Source organism: Homo sapiens, chromosome 9 (genome assembly GCF_000001405.40).
Source record: "Homo sapiens chromosome 9, GRCh38.p14 Primary Assembly".
NCBI classification, from domain to species: domain Eukaryota; kingdom Metazoa; phylum Chordata; class Mammalia; order Primates; family Hominidae; genus Homo; species Homo sapiens.
The window spans coordinates 107,483,561-107,501,118 of NC_000009.12; the positions used below are offsets into that span (position 1 = coordinate 107,483,561).

At 47.3% G+C, this 17,558-nt stretch overlaps 1 protein-coding gene across 2 annotated transcripts, besides 3 other annotated features; it reads right to left on the reverse strand.

The window, feature by feature from the left end:
• Positions 1-1,291: 1,291 nt before the first annotated feature.
• KLF4 (KLF transcription factor 4) lies at positions 1,292-6,209 on the reverse strand. Of its 2 annotated transcripts, NM_004235.6 has the most exons (5): positions 5,608-6,209; positions 5,370-5,490; positions 3,735-4,707; positions 3,468-3,632; positions 1,292-2,366 (listed from the first exon to the last, which is right to left on the reverse strand). In NM_004235.6, exons 1-5 carry the CDS (start codon positions 5,610-5,612, stop codon positions 2,191-2,193), a joined length of 1,440 nt encoding a protein of 479 aa, NP_004226.3. In that variant the 5' UTR covers positions 5,613-6,209; the 3' UTR covers positions 1,292-2,190. The 2 variants fall into 2 exon arrangements, with proteins under 2 accessions (NP_004226.3, NP_001300981.1); NM_001314052.2 differs by having other exon boundaries at positions 3,468-4,707.
• Positions 5,021-5,070: a silencer, noted in NCBI's record as "silent region_20158". NCBI's record gives its function as "represses an Ori minimal core promoter by ATAC-STARR-seq in GM12878 lymphoblastoid cells {active_cell/tissue: GM12878}" and the evidence as "EXISTENCE:reporter gene assay evidence [ECO:0000049][PMID:35858748]".
• Positions 5,722-5,921: a silencer, noted in NCBI's record as "fragment chr9:110251563-110251762 (GRCh37/hg19 assembly coordinates)". NCBI's record gives its function as "represses an EF-1alpha promoter that drives an FKBP-Casp9 reporter gene in an ReSE screen in both phorbol 12-myristate 13-acetate-treated (for megakaryocytic differentiation) and untreated K562 erythroleukemia cells {active_cell/tissue: K562 | K562(+PMA)}" and the evidence as "EXISTENCE:reporter gene assay evidence [ECO:0000049][PMID:32094911]".
• Positions 6,281-6,490: a silencer, noted in NCBI's record as "silent region_20159". NCBI's record gives its function as "represses an Ori minimal core promoter by ATAC-STARR-seq in GM12878 lymphoblastoid cells {active_cell/tissue: GM12878}" and the evidence as "EXISTENCE:reporter gene assay evidence [ECO:0000049][PMID:35858748]".

Below are 17,558 nucleotides of genomic sequence, written 5' to 3' on the forward strand. Positions count from 1 at the left end.
GATAGTCTTATATCCTGCTTTTTCCACTTAACATTACTATGAGCATTTTTCCATGTCATTAAATATGCTTTGAATATGTTCTTGGCCACATAAAATTCCATCCTATTGATGCACCTGTTTTCTTTTAAGCAGAGACACATGCTATGCTTTCCAGTCATGGTGGACTCTCAAAAGCCAAAGAAAATACCTTGTGCTGATCTACCATAAGCCTCTTATAAACATCCATTTTTTATTTCATTTATTACATGTACCCATGGTACAAACGCACCTCTGGACACTAGATACAATCAATAGTTAATAAGCACTCTAAAAAAAATGCCAGTGAGCAGTGAGCTCTGTCCCCTTGATGATGTTTAGTCACCCACATCACTATTACAAGTATATAAGGTGTCAACAAGTGTCACAAATGCTTTTTCCATTTTGCGATAGCCCCAAATGAATTTCAATCTTTCAGGCACCCATCTCAAGAACTTCAGATTCTAACAGGGCAGTTTTGAGTTTTAATATTAAAACTTCTAATATAAACGCTACAAACTTACCATAACACCATCTTACTTTACACTTAGTTTTATGAATTTGAATAATTTTTAAATTATTTTATTTCAGTTTGTTTTCCCACCTTCAGTCAGGGGAACTGATTTAGCTTTAAAACAATCTGCCAGAAACTTTGGTTCTGACCTCTTTAAGGCTGTAACTAGTAGAAGTGATGTATCTTTAACACACACCAAGCATAAATGAACCCTTTAATCCTCAGGAGGGCACTGTGGAACTACGTTCTTAGGGTTGTCTGCTGTAGGAAGGTTCTTTTGTTACTCAGATGTGAGGGGTGCTGGGACAGGCCTCCACAGAAAACTTTTTTATTTTTATTTACTTTAAAAGACAAACCATAAAGATTTTTTTCAAATATGAAACTGAAATGTATATATTTCATAAATATTTTCATACTAAACTGAGCAAATTTAAGGATGATTAAGCTGTTTCTACTGGGAAAATCATAGGTAAGGAAACTGCTTTCACGTAGCTTTACGTACATTTGGAAAGAGCAAACCTGAACTGGGTTTTTAATCTTGTAATTTTTAAACGTACAATAATCAAGAGTTCTCAGCCCTATATTGATAGTATTTATGGTAAAACTAAATAGTTTTTTTTTAATAAAAAAAGGTATTTTAATTTGTTGACATAAAGTTGGCTTTTTTGTGCGTGCTTCTTACATGCCTTATTAACCCGGTGTGTTTAAACCAAACACTGTTCATATTTTTCCAGGAGGAAAACAAAACAATAAAAAACATTATTCAGATAAAATATTATAGGTTTATTTAAAACTTAATTCTCACCTTGAGTATGCAAAATACAAACTCCACAAAATGTTCATTTTACTTTGTAGTTTACAAATATACAAAATAGACGTTTGCTTAAATTTATATTACATATTTATTAAGGCAAGGAACTATATAGAAAAACACATTTGTTCTGCTTAAGGCATACTTGGGAATAAACCATTGTACAAATTATTGCACATCTGAAACCACAGTGCATAACAGACTGTCTGCATAAAAATGCTAAAGAAGTAAACCAGGTATATTACCTGACTTAGGTCATAAATGTTGATCGGAAGACAAATATAGATTTTCCTTGTCAAAGTATGCAGCAGTTTGAAAACTTTGGCTTCCTTGTTTGGTACCTTTAGAACCAAGACTCACCAAGCACCATCATTTAGGCTATTTAAACATGTTTTCTGTACCTGAATTTCTTCCTCTTCTTCTAACATCATAATAATGGCTTTTAGAAGGTAAAGAGAATACAAGGTGATCTTTTATGCTTATATTGCATCAATACACAATTCAAGGGAATTCTGGTCTTCCCTCCCCCAACTCACGGATATAATTTATACCCTGATATCCACAACTTCCAGTCACCCCCTTGGCATTTTGTAAGTCCAGGAATATTCAAGTCGGATTTAGAATTGGAATGATAGAAGATCCAGTCACAGACCCCATCTGTTCTTTGATTTTTGTCTTTTGGATTCCTCATTTTTCCTGATTATCCACTCACAAGATGACTCAGTTGGGAACTTGACCATGATTGTAGTGCTTTCTGGCTGGGCTCCTTCCCTCATCGGGAAGACAGTGTGAAAAGTAAAAAATACTGAATTCTCTTCTGGCAGTGTGGGTCATATCCACTGTCTGGGATTTAAAAATGCCTCTTCATGTGTAAGGCGAGGTGGTCCGACCTGGAAAATGCTCGGTCGCATTTTTGGCACTGGAACGGGCGGTGCCCCGTGTGTTTACGGTAGTGCCTGGTCAGTTCATCTGAGCGGGCGAATTTCCATCCACAGCCGTCCCAGTCACAGTGGTAAGGTTTCTCACCTGTAAAGGTAAAAGAAAAAAAAAATTGACGCTATTGCTATATCAAAGAATCGCCCCTTTTAAAAACTGAAGGCCAGATAGTAAACCAACTCTGACCCTATCCTAAAGAAATCCAGGAATGTCTTTATACCACTGAAGGGGTGTATTGAATTCCATATCATAAACAGAAATACATTCCGTGCTTAAGTATTTGGTCTTGTTTTTAGGGGGTCAGTTAAGCACACAACCACCACCTACACCTATACTAATGTTTCACCAAAAACACACAAACACCACCTAAACCTATACTAATGTTTCATTTGAGTCAAGGCATCTCAGTGGTGGAAATGAAATTTGGAAATTGTGATTGGTAGTGTGCCCAAACCATGCAATCTTATTCCTACTACGACTGGGGATAAAAAGCCACAGGTGGCTACTTTTTTTTTCTTTACCTTTACGTTACTGAATGCTGCACCTAAACGACTTTGGGTACCTACTTACATTGACATGGAAATGCTCTGCAGTGACAACCCTAAATCAGAATCTTCCCAGCAATTTTGACCATCATATTCTTGGAATTTAAAATAAAACCTTCTGCTTGTGGGGGAAAAAAAATAAAAATGTAAATCAAAACGAACAAAAAATAAAAAATAAAAAAGTAAGACCGAATTGTTACGACCAGAATTCAAAATAACAAAAAGGGAGGGTGAACCTGGGAAGGGAACATTAAAAAACGATTTTTTTAAAAAAGCCATCATGCTTTTGCATAGCAAAGTATAATTTCTTGATTATAATGCCAAGCTAGGAGAGGCCCACAGACCGCGGGGAATCTCCTGCCTTTTAAAAGCCTAACAAAATTGCACATTCAAACACAGATACCATCCATCAAGCAAAAGGCTCCTGGGCAGAAAAGTAGGCGCCGGTTTGCTGTTCTCTCCAGTGATCCCGGAGATCAAGGCGATAGACTGCCCTGGGAAGCCAAGGAGGCACTGAGGAGTGTCCACTGGTAGCCTATGGGGCTGGAAGCTAACCTGGGAAGTCAAGGAGGCACTGAGGAGTGTCCACTGGTAGCCTATGGGGCTGGAAGCTAACCCCCCTCCCTTCTGCAGTTTGTCCCCCTACCTGTGTGGGTTCGCAGGTGTGCCTTGAGATGGGAACTCTTTGTGTAGGTTTTGCCGCAGCCCGCGTAATCACAAGTGTGGGTGGCGGTCCTTTTCCGGGGCCACGATCGTCTTCCCCTCTTTGGCTTGGGCTCCTCTGGCATGCAGGAACCGGGTGGCATGAGCTCTAGGGGTGAAGAAGGTGGGGTGAGCATCATCCCGTGTGTCCCGAAGTGGGGCCAGCACACACAGGGCTCCCCAGCCCGAGCTACAAATCCCCGGGACTGACCTTGGTAATGGAGCGGCGGGACTTGCGGCTGCATCTGATCGGGCAGGAAGGATGGGTAATTGGGCCCCGGGTGGGGATGGAAGCCGGGAGGAAGCGGCAGGGCAGGGTGACAGTCCCTGCTGCTCAGCACTTCCTCAAGACCCAGGGTCGGGGTAGTCCTGCTGGGGAGCTGCCGCCCCAGGGGGAAGTCGTGTGCAGCCGGCCGGTGGCCATTGCTGAGAGGGGGTCCAGCGCCCAAGTGGGTGCACGAAGAGACCGCCTCCTGCTTGATCTTGGGGCACGTGCGCGGCGGCCCGCCGTTGTAGGGCGCCACCACCACCGGGTGGCTGCCGTCAGGGCTGCCTTTGCTGACGCTGATGACCGACGGGCTGCCGTACTCGCTGCCAGGGGCGCTCAGCGACGCCTTCAGCACGAACTTGCCCATCAGCCCGCCACCTGGCGGCTGCGGCTGCTGCGGCGGAATGTACACCGGGTCCAATTCTGGCCGCAGGAGCTCGGCCACGAAGCCGCCCGAGGGGCTCACGTCGTTGATGTCCGCCAGGTTGAAGGGAGCCGTCGGAGGGGGAGCGGACTCCCTGCCATAGAGGAGGCCTCCGCCCGTGCCGCCCGGCGCCACGCCCGGGTCGTTCCCGGCCCGGATCGGATAGGTGAAGCTGCAGGTGGAGGGCGCGCTGGCAGGGCCGCTGCTCGACGGCGACGACGAAGAGGAGGCTGACGCTGACGAGGACACGGTGGCGGCCACTGACTCCGGAGGATGGGTCAGCGAATTGGAGAGAATAAAGTCCAGGTCCAGGAGATCGTTGAACTCCTCGGTCTCTCTCCGAGGTAGGGGCGCCAGGTTGCTACCGCCGCAAGCCGCACCGGCTCCGCCGCTCTCCAGGTCTGTGGCCACGGTCGCCGCCGCCAGGTCATAGGGGCGGCCGGGAAGCACTGGGGGAAGTCGCTTCATGTGGGAGAGCTCCTCCCGCCAGCGCTGCGGGGACAGGGCGGGAGAGACCTGTCAGTGGTGGTCCCCTGTTGCCACCCGACATACTGACGTGCTGGCGGGCCACGCGCGACTGCACCGCCCAGACATGGGGACTGGTCAGGCAGGAAGCACCCGGGAACCCAGGGCGCCAGCGCTGCAATCTCGGCCCACTCCCGGGTCGAAGAAGAGGTGATGCGTCTGTATTGCGGGTGTTATGTCCTGTCTGCCCAATTGCGTGTGAGCGAGCGCCGCGGCTGGTCCCTCCCCCTCCAGGTCCCGTGGACGTCCCCGGAATTGGCACACCGAGGCTCTCTCGGTGCGCTCTCGCCACGGGGCCGCCTACGCGCTAAACTCACTCTGGCCCAGCCAGTGTCTGGGGACGCGGCCACCTCCCGCCCGGTGGCCCGAGAGCGCCCGCCCTACCGACAGCGCGCCCGGGGACTGGTGAAGACCCGGCTTGCGCCCCAGGCGGCTCCGCAGTGCTCGCACCACGGGCATACACAGCTGAGCCAAGGACACGGAAGCTATCCCGGGAAGGTTGCGGAGTCCGCGCGGTGGCCGCTCCTTACCCTCGTTCAGTGGCTCTTGGTGACCCCAAGGCTCCGCCCGCCCCCACCACACCCACGAAAACCCACCGGGCGTTCCCGGCGGCCCGGAGCGATACTCACGTTATTCGGGGCACCTGCTTGACGCAGTGTCTTCTCCCTTCCCGCCGGGCCAGACGCGAACGTGGAGAAAGATGGGAGCAGCGCGTCGCTGACAGCCATGTCAGACTCGCCAGGTGGCTGCCTGCGAGCAAGGCAGGGAGCGGAGACAGGAGAGTCAGGGGCGGCTTTCGGCCGTCGTTCCGGCGCGTCCCACCGGTCCTCACCCCTCCCTGCTCCCAGCGCCGCGCGCCTCACCTACCTCATTAATGTGGGGGCCCAGAAGGTCCTCGGCAGCCCGAAGCAGCTGGGGCACCTGAACCCCAAAGTCAACGAAGAGAAGAAACGAAGCCAAAACCCAAAACCCCAAATTGGCCGAGATCCTTCTTCTTTGGATTAAATATAACTTGGAAGCGTCTTTTTTAAAAAGTTCCTTTGTATACAAAAGTTCTTAGAAAAGTTGTAAACGCAAAAATAGACAATCAGCAAGGCGAGTAAGTAGGTCCGGTGGCCGGGCTGCGCTCTCTTCCACTCAGCAGCGTCCCCCACCACTGTCGCGGTCGCCTCGAGTGCTGCCGTGGGCGCAGGGGCTGTGGCCGGGGCGGTGGGCGGGCGGTGCCGCCAGGTGAGACTGGCTGCCGTGGCGCGGAGCTGCGAACTGGTCGGCGGCGCAAGGCGCGGACTCCGGTGAGTTGTGTGGAGCGCGCGCGGCCATGGGCGCGGGCCACGGGCGGGTGGGAGGGTGGGGGGCCAGAGGGGCGGGGGAGGGTCACTCGGCGGCTCCCGGTGCCGCCGCCGCCCGCCACCGCCTCTGCTCCCCGCGCGCCCGCAGACACGTTCGTTCTCTCTGGTCGGGAAACTGCCGGCCGCCGGCGCGCGTTCCTTACTTATAACTTCCTTCGCTACAGCCTTTTCCTCCGCCTTCTCCCATGCCCCGCCCCTCCCTTTCTTCTCTCCGCCCCCCCCGAGGCTCCCTTCCATCGTTGCTATGGCAGCTAAATCAACAAACTCGGCGCACGTGGGGGCGGGGGAGGGGAAGGAGGGGCGCGGGCGGGGCTGGGCCGGGCCGTGACGCCAGCCAGGCAGCTGGCGGGCTGGAGCCGAGCTGACGCCGGCGGCAGTGGTGTCGGCGGCGGCGGCGGCGTCCGCCCCAGCGCGGGGCGCGAGGAACCGGGCGCAGGTTCGGTCGCTGCGCGACCAGGGCCGTACTCACCGCCATTGTCGGCTCCCTGGGTTCGAAGCCCGCGAAGACTGGTGGGGTCAGCGGGCGGCACGGTCACGCGTCCGCACCCCTGCTAGCATACGCGCTTGCCGCGCTGTCTGCGCGCTGGAGAAGAGCGCGATTATCCGCGTGACTCATCCAGCCCTCCATCTCCCCCTCCCTCTCTGCGCTCGCAGGAGTCCGCTCTCGTCGCTCAGCGCCAGTGCCGGTGGCGGTGCCGGCGCTCGGCCTGACCTCGCACGGTTCCTCGCGGGCCCTTCTGCTGAGGGGTGGGGGGCGCTAGGGGTGTGGAGAGGAGGCAGTGCCCAGCACTGTGCAGCGTGAACTGGGAGCCTCAAGAGAAGGCCAGAGGAGTGTTCCGCCGGGAACAGGCGGAAAGAGGCACGAATGGGGAGTTATGGTTTTGATACTTTAAATAGCGAGAAAGGGAGTGAAAGGGCTCAAGATTTACTCAGAGGCATAAGGGAGAGAAGAGGGACTGTGAGGCGCGGAGACAGTTTTCAACCAGCCATCTCGAAGCCCTTTCCTTTTTTTTTCTTTCTTTTTTTTTTTTTTGTGAGACAGAGTCTCGCTGTGTCGCCCAAGCTGGAATGCAGTGGCACGATCTCAGCTCAGTGCAACCTCCGCCTCCTGCGTCCAAGCGATTCTCCTGCGTCAGCCTCCCGAGTAGCGGGGATTACAGGCGTGCGCCACGACGCCGGCTAATTTTTGTATTTTTCGTGGAGACGGGGTTTCACCATGTTGGCCAGGCAGGTCTCGAACACCTGACCTCAAGTGATCAGCCTGCCTCGGCCTCCCGAAGTGCTGGGATTACAGGCGTGAGCCACTGCCTGTAATATTTGATGACTAAATTGCACTGTAGAATAATAATAATAATAGAAGACACCCATTAAAGAAGAATTAAACACTCACTGATGACTTTTCAAGCCACGCACTCTCCTTTCCACTTTATGGATGAGAAATTGAGTCATAAAGAGGTGAAATGGCCAGTAAAGGTCAAAGGACAACTCGTTCCTTCGGCTCAGGCTCCGGGTAGGTCAGGCCCCCCTAAAGGGACTTCCCTGGGAAGTGACCATGTGCCAGGAAGTGGAGCGATGCGGTGGGATCCTAGCTCTCAAAAAGTGCACACCGAGCCCGCCGCAGGCGTCCTTGCCCACCGGGAAGGGAATAGGAAACGGCGATCTTTACTTCAATCTTATAACGCTGCCTCCCCCACCCCCACTCTCCCCTTGGTTTGTGATCAGTAATTTTCCAGCTGGGAAATGTTTTGCTCTCATCTTCTTAGCAAACAGTATTTTTTTTTAAAACGTGAATGTGGTGTTCGGTATCACTTTCTAAACGTAGGTTTGGCGAGGTGTTTACTTTGGATTCCGGCGTTCGGCGCGGGACTCCGCCCCCCTCTCCACGGAGCCCCCTCACCGGCGAACGCTGGCGCTTAGGCTGGTGTCAACCTAGGAAAGAGAAGAGAGGGGACACTGGGGAAAGTGGTGGAAGCTCGGGCACCGGGCAGAGAGTGCGCTCACCCCTTTTTGAGTTCTAGTTGCCAATGTCCTTTGTCGTTGTCACCTGTTTGAACCCTGCGATTCTGGTACCTATTAGGTTTCCTCAGAATATTTGTGATACCTGATTTTTCCACTCCTCGCCGACCACAGAAGCATTCTTGGAATGCATCTCGCCCCGAATGAATTGACTCGGCCCTCCCTGCCAACGCCAGGAATCCCTCTAAGATCCAGAGTCGGACGCCCTTGAGTGTGACTTCCATCCTCTAGCTTGGCTCTGGCCAAGGGCTGCCAGGGTTGCAGCTGGGGGATGAGAGTGTTTTGGCAGGGAAACCGAGGTCCTCCTTCCTATGACCTCGAGGAGTTCAACCCCACCCCCCTATATAGGATCAGGCCAGTTACTTTAACTCTGATTTTTACTTTAAGCCCTTTTCAAACGGAGGAACCAAAAAAGGAAGACACCTGCCACTTCCTCCCCTACTCCTTTAATTGTGATGGCAACATCTTGGGATGCTGTGATTTGAGGGCTGCATGGGAAACTCACCACTTTTTCAGGAAAGCCAAAGTCCCTCACCCTGGATGAACAGTGGATGAGCCCTTGATTGGCAGCCATCTCCCTTGGGATGTAAACGTGGGTCAGGACTTGGAATTTCCAACTTAGGTAGGCAGCACACTAGATTATTTCTGCTTTACTTTTATTTCTCTAAGGCAGTAGCCCTTCCCCCTCAAAAAAAAAACTATCTGTAACCACCACAATGAAAAAACAATATTGCACAGAAGAATTGGAAAGCCACCATTATTATGTCACATAATCAAGACAAGATTCTGAAACTCGATTGAAAAAGATGAACTTGTTTCCAACCGGCCTTCTGAAGGATAAAAGCCAGTCTCTCTTCGTGGCAGGCAACTAGCTGGTTATTCCTCTGATTGCGTCACAAAGGGAAATCTGTATATTCACCCCAGATTTCTAAAAGAAGCAAGAAACTTCAAGTTCACAAATCATCTCTCAAGGCAGGTGCCCTGTATGACAACAAGGTTATGGCCCTCCCTGTCTTCAGAACAGGTAGGGCCAGAAGACTTAAATCCTTGCCCTATATAATTTATAAACATGAGGCTGAGTAAACCTTTGATGACTAAATTGCACTGTAGAATAATAATAATAGAAGACACCCTTTAAAGAAGAATGAAACACTCACTGGTGACTTTATTTCAGCAAACTGATATTACTAGTTTTGTGGACTAGAAGTTAATTATTAATGTCCTTGGAGTTATAAAATAATTTTTTTTCCAGCACAAACTGCATTAGTTGTCAGAAGATGTGATGAACACCATTAGTGCTAGGGGATTAATGTGGAGCCATGGAGGGGTGTGATAGACTGAAGAAGCTGCATCCATGTTTCAAATGAAAGATTCAGCACCCATAACTGGGTATGGGGTCTGGACACATAGAGCACCCCGTGACCTGGCTGCACCCTGGCTGGGTGTCTCTGCATAACTGCCGCAGGACTCAAGAAAAACTCAAAAAAAAAAAAACTTTTTTTTTTTTTTGAGACAGAATCTCACTCTGTAGCCCAAGCTGGAGTGCAGTGGCGTGATCTTGGCTCACTGCAACCTCCACTTCCAGGGTGGAGGTGGAAGCAGTTCTCATGCCTCAGCCTCCAGAGTAGCTGAGACTACAGGCGCGTTCCACCATGCCCAGCTAATTTTTTGTATTTTAGTAGAGATGGGGGTTTCACCATGTTGCCCAGGGTGGTCTCCAACTCCTGAGCTCGGGCGATCCACCCGCCTCCGCCTCCCAAAGTGCTGGGATTACAGGCATGAGCCACTGCGCCCTGCCTGAAAAACTGCTTTTTAAAAAAGTGAAAACAAGAGATAGATTTTAAGTACCCGAATTGCTTTGAAATGAAATCCCTGCTAATAAATAACTGTAAAAGGAGCTTGCAGCTTTCACAAGGTGGCAAAGCTTTTCTCAGTCTCCACCCTCATCTCCTTGTGAACTCCAGCCTCTTTTTTTTTTAAATTTTATTATTATTATACTTTAAATTCTAGGGTACATGTGCACAACGTGCAGGTTTGTTACATATGTATACATGTGCCATGTTGGTGTGCTGCACCCATTAACTCGTCATTTAGCATTAGGTATATCTCCTAATGCTATCCCTCCCCCCTCCCCCCCGCCCACAACAGTCCCCAGTGTGTGATGTTCCCCTTCCTGTGTCCATGTGTTCTCATTATAGACCAATGGAACAGAACAGAGCCCTCAGAAATAATGCCGCGTATCTACAACTATCTGATCTTTGACAAACCTGACAAAAACAAGCAATGGGGAAAGGATTCCCTATTTAATAAACGGTGCTGGGAAAACTGGCTAGCCATATGTAGAAAGCCGAAACTGGATCCCTTCCTTACACCTTATACAAAAATTAATTCAAGATGGATTAAAGACTTAAATGTTAGACCTAAAACCATAAGAATGCCAGCCTCTTTTTACCCTCTGTCTTGTGTAGACTTTAGAGGTTAGGAAAGTAGGCTTTGACTCTGTGTTTCCCAACATGACTCTGCTGCTTTCTAGCTGGGCAAGTTACTGACCTCACTTTGCACTTTGCCTGTTTCCTCTTCTGTAAAATGGGGATATTAATAATGCCTACTTCTTAGAGTGATGAGGATCAAATCAGATAATCTAAAGTAAAGTATTTAGCACAGACTTAACACTCAACACATAGTAGCTATTACTATCATCAGTATTCCCCAGGGTATCATAAACATGATGAGGCTGAGGCTACTGTTTTGTTCACTGCTATATCCCCAAGTCCTATTATAGTGCCTACCTAGCACATGGTAATGCCCTGTAAGTGTTTGTTGAGTGAATGAATAATGCATATTTAATGTGTTTTTTCTTTTTGAATAATCCATTAGCAGGAAGCTCATCTTTCAGCATCCACTGTAGACTCATTAATCCTCTTTCTTATCAAGAACCGCAACACACCCAGATTTAAAATTTCGTCATTCTCTCCCCGGTTTCTAAGACAGAAACCTAGATTTTCTTCAACTCCTGCCTTATTTTCTTTGACCTGAGCATCCAGACATCTACAAAACTCAGCCATTTCCATTCCTAAATATCCCCACTATCTTTTTACTACTCTCGGGCTGCTTTGGTTTAAGCTTGCCTCATTTACAGCTTTTTGTTGTTGTTGTTGTTGTTTTGAGACGGGTCTCATTCTATTGCCCAGGTTGGAGTGCAATGGCACTATCTTGGCTCACTGTAACCTCCACTGCCCGGGCTCAAGCGATCCTCCCACCTTAGCCTCCCGAGTAGCGAGTATCTTGTGGCACTGATTCTTTTTTTTTTTTTTTTATTTTGATAGAGATTTCGTCATGTTGGCCAGGCTGGTCTCAAACTCCTGTGTTTAAGCCATCCACCCACCTCGACCTCTCAAAGTGCTGGGATTACACACGTAAGCCACTGTGCCCAGCCTCATTTACAGATTTAATTATGTCTGTACACTCCAAATAGTCCTCTTGTCTCCTCCCTCAGAGCCCCACTGGCATTCTCCAGCTAGATCTAATCCATTTTGCTAACAGACCACCACAGTTCTGTCTCTACTCACCTCCCCACCAGCCAGTCTTTCAACAGCTCCACTTTGCCTAGAGGAATAAAACCAAACTGTTTGGCTTGATGTACCCAACACTTACTACTCTGGCCCTAGACAAACTTTCCAGAATCTTCTCTAGAGACTGACCTCACCCTCTCTAAACTCTTAACTGGATGTTCTCTCAAATCCCTGAATACAGGATGTGTATTTTCATCAGCTGTTTTTCCTGTCTGAAATGCCCTTTCTCCCCTCAGGGCCCTCATCGTACCCAAACTCCAAAAAGTCCCTCTTAATTGTTCCTTGGTCTATGAGTTCCCTTTTAAGCCAGTCCTTTTTTCTCTGAGCTCTAACAAAGCTGTGTAATGACTGCTAGGATGTTTACCCAGTGGACTTGCATGATCTGGTTGTTTGTAGCTCCTGTTCCCCTATGGCATCTTCAGGACAAATGCCCAATGACCATTAATTGTAGAATGAATGAAGAGAGCAAAACTGACTTGGTAAACTATTAATGGGGTAGAGGCAGGGAGGGAGTCAGGGGACCTGGTCCTTGTCAATAGCATTTCTCTCTAGTTGAGAGGGTCATTGGTTTGGTACTTCATTTTCCATCCCTTCTCTTTCTTCACCACTTCATCTCTTTCTTTGAAAAGTTCTATGAAGGAAAACTTTTCAAAGAAAGTTATGAAGGAAATAAAATCCTTCATAACTCTGTACTCTCAAAAACAGTTGGACAAAGTAATAGAACAGTGCTGGCCAAGGCATTGTAATAAAACAAACTTGAAAACACAAACAAAAATAACCAAAATCCAAACCAAAACCAAATGGAGAAAGAGTCCACTCTTTTCTGCAGCCAAATTCATTGCCTTTCAAAACCCAAACCTTAAGGGTTGAAGTTTTTAGAGCAGAAAATGAATCACAGACATTTAAAAATCAATTCTCAGAAATTTCATTAGAATCTTTTTCGTGAACCCTTAGGTTTGATCACTTAAGTTACATTCTTAGCTCAAAAAACTTAGGCCCAATACATCCTTTAAGCTATTTAAAAATAAAATCTAAAATTAATGAAATTATTTTCAAGACTTTTGAAATATTCTGACTGCAATATATTAAATTCAGCTTTTCAGTGTCCTCAACTTGTTCTGAGATATTAAAAAGGATACAAAAAAAATCCCTCTTTTTAGGTTGCTGATTTTTTTTACTTTATTTATTTATGTATTTATTTATTTTTTAATAAATAAATGAGTCACCACACCCGGCCAGGTTGCTTATTTTTAAATGTCTGTTTAAGCAGAGAGAAATATTTTTTAATGGCTCACACCTGTAATCTCAACACTTTGGGAGACCGAGGTGGGTGAATCACAAGGTCAGGAGTTCAAGACCAGACTGGCCAACATATAGCGAAACCCCATCTCTACTAAAAAATACAAAAATTAGCTGGGCGTGGTGGCGCATGCCTGTAGTCCCAGTTACTTGGGAAGCTGAGTCAAGAGAACAGCTTGAACCCAGGAGACGGAGGTTGCAGTGAGCCAAGATCGCACCACTGCACTCCAGCCTGGGCAACAGAGCAAGACTCCGCCTCAAAAATAAAAAAAGAAATATTTTGTAAGAGTGAGGTACATCTCAGTAGTATTTCCCTTAACAAAACATTTTGTAAGAGTGAGGGGCATCTCAGTAATATTTTCCTTAATAAAAGAAATTGCAGGCTAGCATTTACCATCTTCGTAGAGCATGACTCCAATACTATATGCATTTGAAACACATTTAAAAGTAAATGAACTAGCAAATTTTAAAAGTATTTAAATTTTAATGAAAGAATAAAAGTACTTAAATGAACCAGCAAAGAAGTCAGTGGGCAGAGAAAAACCTGTTGCTGGAATTTTCTTCTTCACTTGGTTCACCAAGTTTTGCCTGCTTCCCCTGGGGGAGAATTATCTCTGAAAAGAGAACCAAGAGTCTACTTCCTTTATTTAAAAGCCTCAGTGCCTCAGATTCTTAGACTAAGACAACGTCGTTCTTCTGAGGAAAACAAAGTCCCTAGGTTTAGATTGGATTGGAGGTAACATTTTTGTTTTATGGAAAATGTAGGAATGTTGAAGGTACAAAAATGAATGCTTCACACCCTGAGAAATGCAAACAAGAAAAAAACAATTCTGTGTTTAATTCTCTTTCAGTTTGTGGGCTGGACAAGAGGGGAGCTTATTTTTGCCAATTTGAAATTATGTACTTTGAGCCAGGGAAATGATTTAAAAAAAAATTAAGAATGCATTTTATTACCCTGTAGTTGACTTTTTTTTCACAAACATTGTGTTTGTTAATCAATTTTAATGTCCTGGCTAGTGGGAAGGGGGCTAGCGAGTGCCAATGTGGAGGAAAAAAAAAAAAAAAAAAGCCAAACGAATGTTCTGGCAGCAACTAAATATCTCATACAGTGTGTGATGCCTTATTCAAACTCGAATCTAGATGCAAACTCCTCTTATATCCAGGGATGACCAGAAGCTTCTTAAAGGGGGAAGCCCCTGGAATAGTTACCTAATCTTAGAAGAATTCCCAGCATTATCATTGATAATAAAAAAGGTAATCTAGTGAAAGAGTGAACTTGGTCTATGGTGTCAGTTATTGATGAATTTTTCTGGTTGCTACATTTACCTAACAGTTCTCAGAGCAAAGTGTTGAATTTCAATGTTCTGATGTTTCATTCAGCAAACTCAGTTTTCCATTTGAAAAGAAGCTCATTTGGGTTTCTTTAAAGACAAGACAATATCTTTGGTCTATCTGAGTGCAGATTAGAGTGTCCTTGTCTGACTTTAATTCTTAGAGCCATCTTGCCGTAACTCAATTAAGGAGGAGAACTTGACAGAATTCTCTGGGCTGTGGGAGAAGAAATGACAGGGATGAATAGTGCACAGACTCTGGGGGCATAGGTAGGATCTGCCACGCAAGGGTTTGGACTCCAGGCCCTGAGTTGCATCTTACAAGCCAGGTGACCTTGGACAAGCTACATCATCTAGTTGCACTGTACTTTCCTTGTCTGCAAAATGGGTCTACGAATGTACCTGCTTCCAAGGCCAGTGTGAGCATTAAGTGAGATACTGGCATTAATGTTAGTGTGTCCCCTCTACCAGTGAAACCTTACACAGTTAATCCCCCTTTGATAACTTCAAATTGGTCCTGCAGTATTCAGCACTGGAAGATGATATAATATCTTGGTTTGAAGAGTGAAATGCTTTGTCACAGTATTTTCTTTCCCCAAAATATTTCAGTGTCACTACAGATCCACAACCAAAGACCAGGCTCACAGAAAATCTCACAAAGACACTGTTTTAAGTAGGGAAGGTATACATTAACCTGGGAATCTCACTTCCTAGGGTCACTCCATGACTTGCAAAGGCCTTTTGTGGCTATGTCAAATCCCTAAAGACAGTGACCTTGACCCTTGATAAGCCAGTCAAGAGTTAGGTTGGACGAAAGATAATTTCAAAGTCAAATTCAACATTGAAGAATTCTATAGTCATTGACAGTGTTAGCAAAGTTCTAACCTTGTCTTTCCTAGAAGGGTACTGAAAGGGTCTGCTGGGTTCTCCCTCCAGGAAAAGGAGGGAGCAGGGACCTTCAAATTCATTAACATCACTGCTCTCAGACGCTGTACCAGGTAACTGCGATAAGTACTTTCATGCATTAAGTTACTTGTCTTCACATTACTTCTCTGAGGTTGGTGCTGCCATTGCTGCTAGAATGCAGGCTTCAGGGGGCAGAGACGCTGCCTGTGTGTGTATATTTTAAAATATACTCTTTTTGTGTGTGTATATTTTAAAAACTGATATATCACAGTTGTATGACTTTCTTTTTATTTTTTATGTTATTTTTATTTATTATTATTATTATTTTGAGACAGAGTCTCACTCTTGTTGCCCAGGCTGGAGTGTAGTGGTGTGATCTCGGCTCACAGCAACCTCTGCCTCCCAGGTTCAAGCGGTTCTCCCGCCTCAGCCTCTTGAGTAGCCGGGACTAGAGGACGCGCCACCCTGCCCAGCTAATTTTTTTTTTTTTTTTGAGACAGAGTCTTGCTCTGTAGCCCAGGCTAGAGTGCAGTGGCGCAATCTCGGCTCACTGCAGCCTCTGCCCCTCGGGTTCCAGTGATTCTCCTGCCTCAGCCTCCTGGGTAGCTGAGATTACAGGCGCATGCCACCATGCCCGACTAATTTTTTTTTTTTTTTTTTTTTTTTTTTTTTGAGACGGAGTCTCGCTCTGTCGCCCAGGCTGGAGTGCAGTGGCGGGATCTCGGCTCACTGCAAGCTCCGCCTCCCGGGTTCACGCCATTCTCCTGCCTCAGCCTCCCAAGTAGCTGGGACCACAGGCGCCCGCCACTACGCCCCGCTAATTTTTTTGTATTTTTAGTAGAGACGGGGTTTCACCGTTTTAGCCGGGATGGTCTCGATCTCCTGACCTCGTGATCCGCCCGCCTCGGCCTCCCAAAGTGCTGGGATTACAGGCGTGAGCCACCGCGCCCGGCCCATCCCGACTAATTTTTGTATTTTTAGTAGAGACAGTGTTTTACCATGTTGGTCAGCCTGGTCTCAAACTCCTGACCTCAGGTGATCCCCCTGCCTCAGCCTCCCAAAGTGTTGGGATTACAGGCGTGAGCCACTGTGACCAGCCATTACTTTCTTTTTAATCATAAGTTTTTGTTTTATTTTGTTTTGTTGCTTGAGATAAGGTCTTGCTCTGTTAGCCAGGCTGGAGTGCAGTGGCGCAATGATGGCTCACTGCAGCCTCGAACTCCCTGGCTCAAGCAATCCTCCTATCTCACCATGCTTAGTAGCTGGGACCACAGACATGTACTACCACACCCAGCTTATTTTTAAATTTTTTTGTAGAGACAGGGTCTCACTGTGTTGCCTAGGTTGGTCTTGAACTCCTGGGCTCAAGCAATCCTCTTGCCTCAGCCTCCCAAAGTGCTGGGGTTACAGGCGTGGGCCACCTCACCTGGCTGACTTACTTTTTTTTTTTTGACCTGTCAGCAGGAAGTAACTGACTTATTTTTATTACAGAATGTAATACAGTTTGCTGGCACATAATAGGTGCTCAATACATACTTGTTTAATACATAAACCCCATTTTACAGTTTTAAAAAAACTGCAATATTAGCTAGGCATGGTAGCTCATGCCTGTAATCCCAGCACTTTGGAAGGCCGAAGTGGGTAGATCGCCTGAGGTCAGGAGTTTGCGACCAGCCTGGTCAACATGGTGAAACCCTGTCTCTACTAAAAATACAAAAAATTAGCTGGGCATGGCGGCGGGCGCCTCTAATCCCAGCAACTCAGGAGGCTGAGGCAGAAGAATCACTTGAACCCAGGAGGCGGAGGTTGCAGTGGGCTGAGATCGCGCCATTGCACTCCAGCCTGGGCAACAAGAGCGAAACTCCTTCTCAAAACAAAACAAAACGAACAAAATTAGCCGGGCGTGATGGTGTGCACCTATAATCCCAGCTACTTGGGATTGAGGCAGAGAATCGCTTGAACCTGGGAGGCGGAGGCTGCATCGAGCCAAGGTCATGCCACTGCACTTCAGCCTGGGTGACAGAGGGAGACTCCATCTCAAAAAAATAAATTAATAAAAATAAAAATAAAATAAAAACAACCAAATAAACTGCAGTATAGAGTGCTTAAATCCAGCCCAGGATTGTGCAGCTAAGTAAGGGAGTTAGCCAGTGTCTCCTGGAGCCCACCCAGAGGAGGAAGCCTGCTGTATGACTGCTCTCTGAGTAACCTATCCTCAGCTGTGCCTGGCTTCTCTGAGTTCAGAGCCCCTGGATCGAGTTCCCCAGAGAGTAAACCTCTAACCTTCTGTCCAGGCTGGGGGAAAAGCAGTCACCCAGCTGAACAGGGCTAGTGAGGAATCTTGG